General features: G+C 35.8%; 1 annotated feature.

Moving 5' to 3' along the window:
- Nucleotides 286-455: an enhancer, noted in NCBI's record as "experimental_101305 CRE fragment used in MPRA reporter constructs". NCBI's record gives its function as "activates a minimal promoter by MPRAs in K562 erythroleukemia cells, with activity observed for the introgressed 8:13725587 variant allele {active_cell/tissue: K562}" and the evidence as "EXISTENCE:reporter gene assay evidence [ECO:0000049][PMID:34662402]".

Genomic DNA, 1,360 nt, shown 5'->3' on the forward strand with positions numbered 1-1,360 from the left:
AAGTAAATAATTAATAAATAGGGCCGAGCGACATGTCTCATGCCTGTAATCCCAGCACTTTGGGAGATCGAGGTGGGTGGTCACGAGGTCAGAAGATTGAGACCATCTTGGCCAAAATGGTGAAACCCCGTCTCTACTAAAAATACAAAAATTAGCCGGGTGTGGTGGTGTGCACCTGTAGTCCAAGCTACTCAGGAGGCTGAGGCAGGAGAATTGCTTGAACTCAGGAGGCAGAGGTTGCAGTGAGCCGAGATTGAGCCACTGCACTCCAACCTGGGCAACAGAGCAAGACTCCATCTCAAAAAGGATAAGAAAATAATAAATTAGTGTACTCTAAATTTAACTAATGGTTTTTGTTAGAATCTATAAACACATTAAAAATCCTAGTACAGTGAAATAGAATAAGCAGGTGGTCATTGTCATTAGGTAACTGATTATGTCAGGAAATAAGATTGTGGTTACTTTAGAAAAGAAAATTACAATTCAATCCACAAAAACAATAAGAATAGGGTAAGTGAATGTACATATATGTCAGGTAAAATAATGACCGTAATTCAAAGAGGACTAATTAGTAACATGTTTAAAAGGCAGAATAATAAAATAAGTGGTGAATTAAATAACTTTCATAGAATAAGTAGGAATCCTTATCAAAAAATGAATGCAACTTGGTTACGAGCGCTGACTAGTAATGCAGGATGCACTTGTAAGTCAATATATAATATAATATCATTACAAATTTAAAATGATCTGTCTGCTAGAAAATAAACTTCCTTAAAGCGTCCCAAAGAAATGTCATAATACCAATAAGATACCAATAAGATAAAAGCATGAGGAAGAATATAATACAAATGAGTTTTTTAAACACCCAAACAAATTAGTTAGAAAGATGTCAGAGTAATTTGATTTTTGTTGCTAAGTTTGATTCAGCTTAACTGAGGTCTAAACCTGTGAGTCATTAATTTCTGAGGATGATTCGTTTCATATGAGTGCCTAGGAGGGGACCTTATTCCTCGACATTGAGTCATGTGCATTGCTACTAAATTTAATTGGAAGAAATCAACATTCTGACAAGAAAATTTTCTTTGACCATGAGGGTGCGCATTTCTCTATTCCCCAGGCTACCAGTATTGTCCTGATAGCGTTTTAAAACACTCTTTGCAATTCTAACTGATGCACAGGAAAAAGAAAACAAGGTTGTTCAAAGGAGAACAAATACCTAAAATAAGAAAACAGAGAACTTTATGTGAGGAAAATCAGAAAAGATAAACCATTCACTCAGAATTCATGAAGAATCATCCATATTATCCAGGCACCTCCTACCCAGGGGATACATTTTGAGACGATAACACTAAGAACCAGA

This window comes from Homo sapiens, chromosome 8, assembly GCF_000001405.40.
Source record: "Homo sapiens chromosome 8, GRCh38.p14 Primary Assembly".
In the NCBI taxonomy this organism is placed as follows: Eukaryota; Metazoa; Chordata; class Mammalia; order Primates; family Hominidae; genus Homo; species Homo sapiens.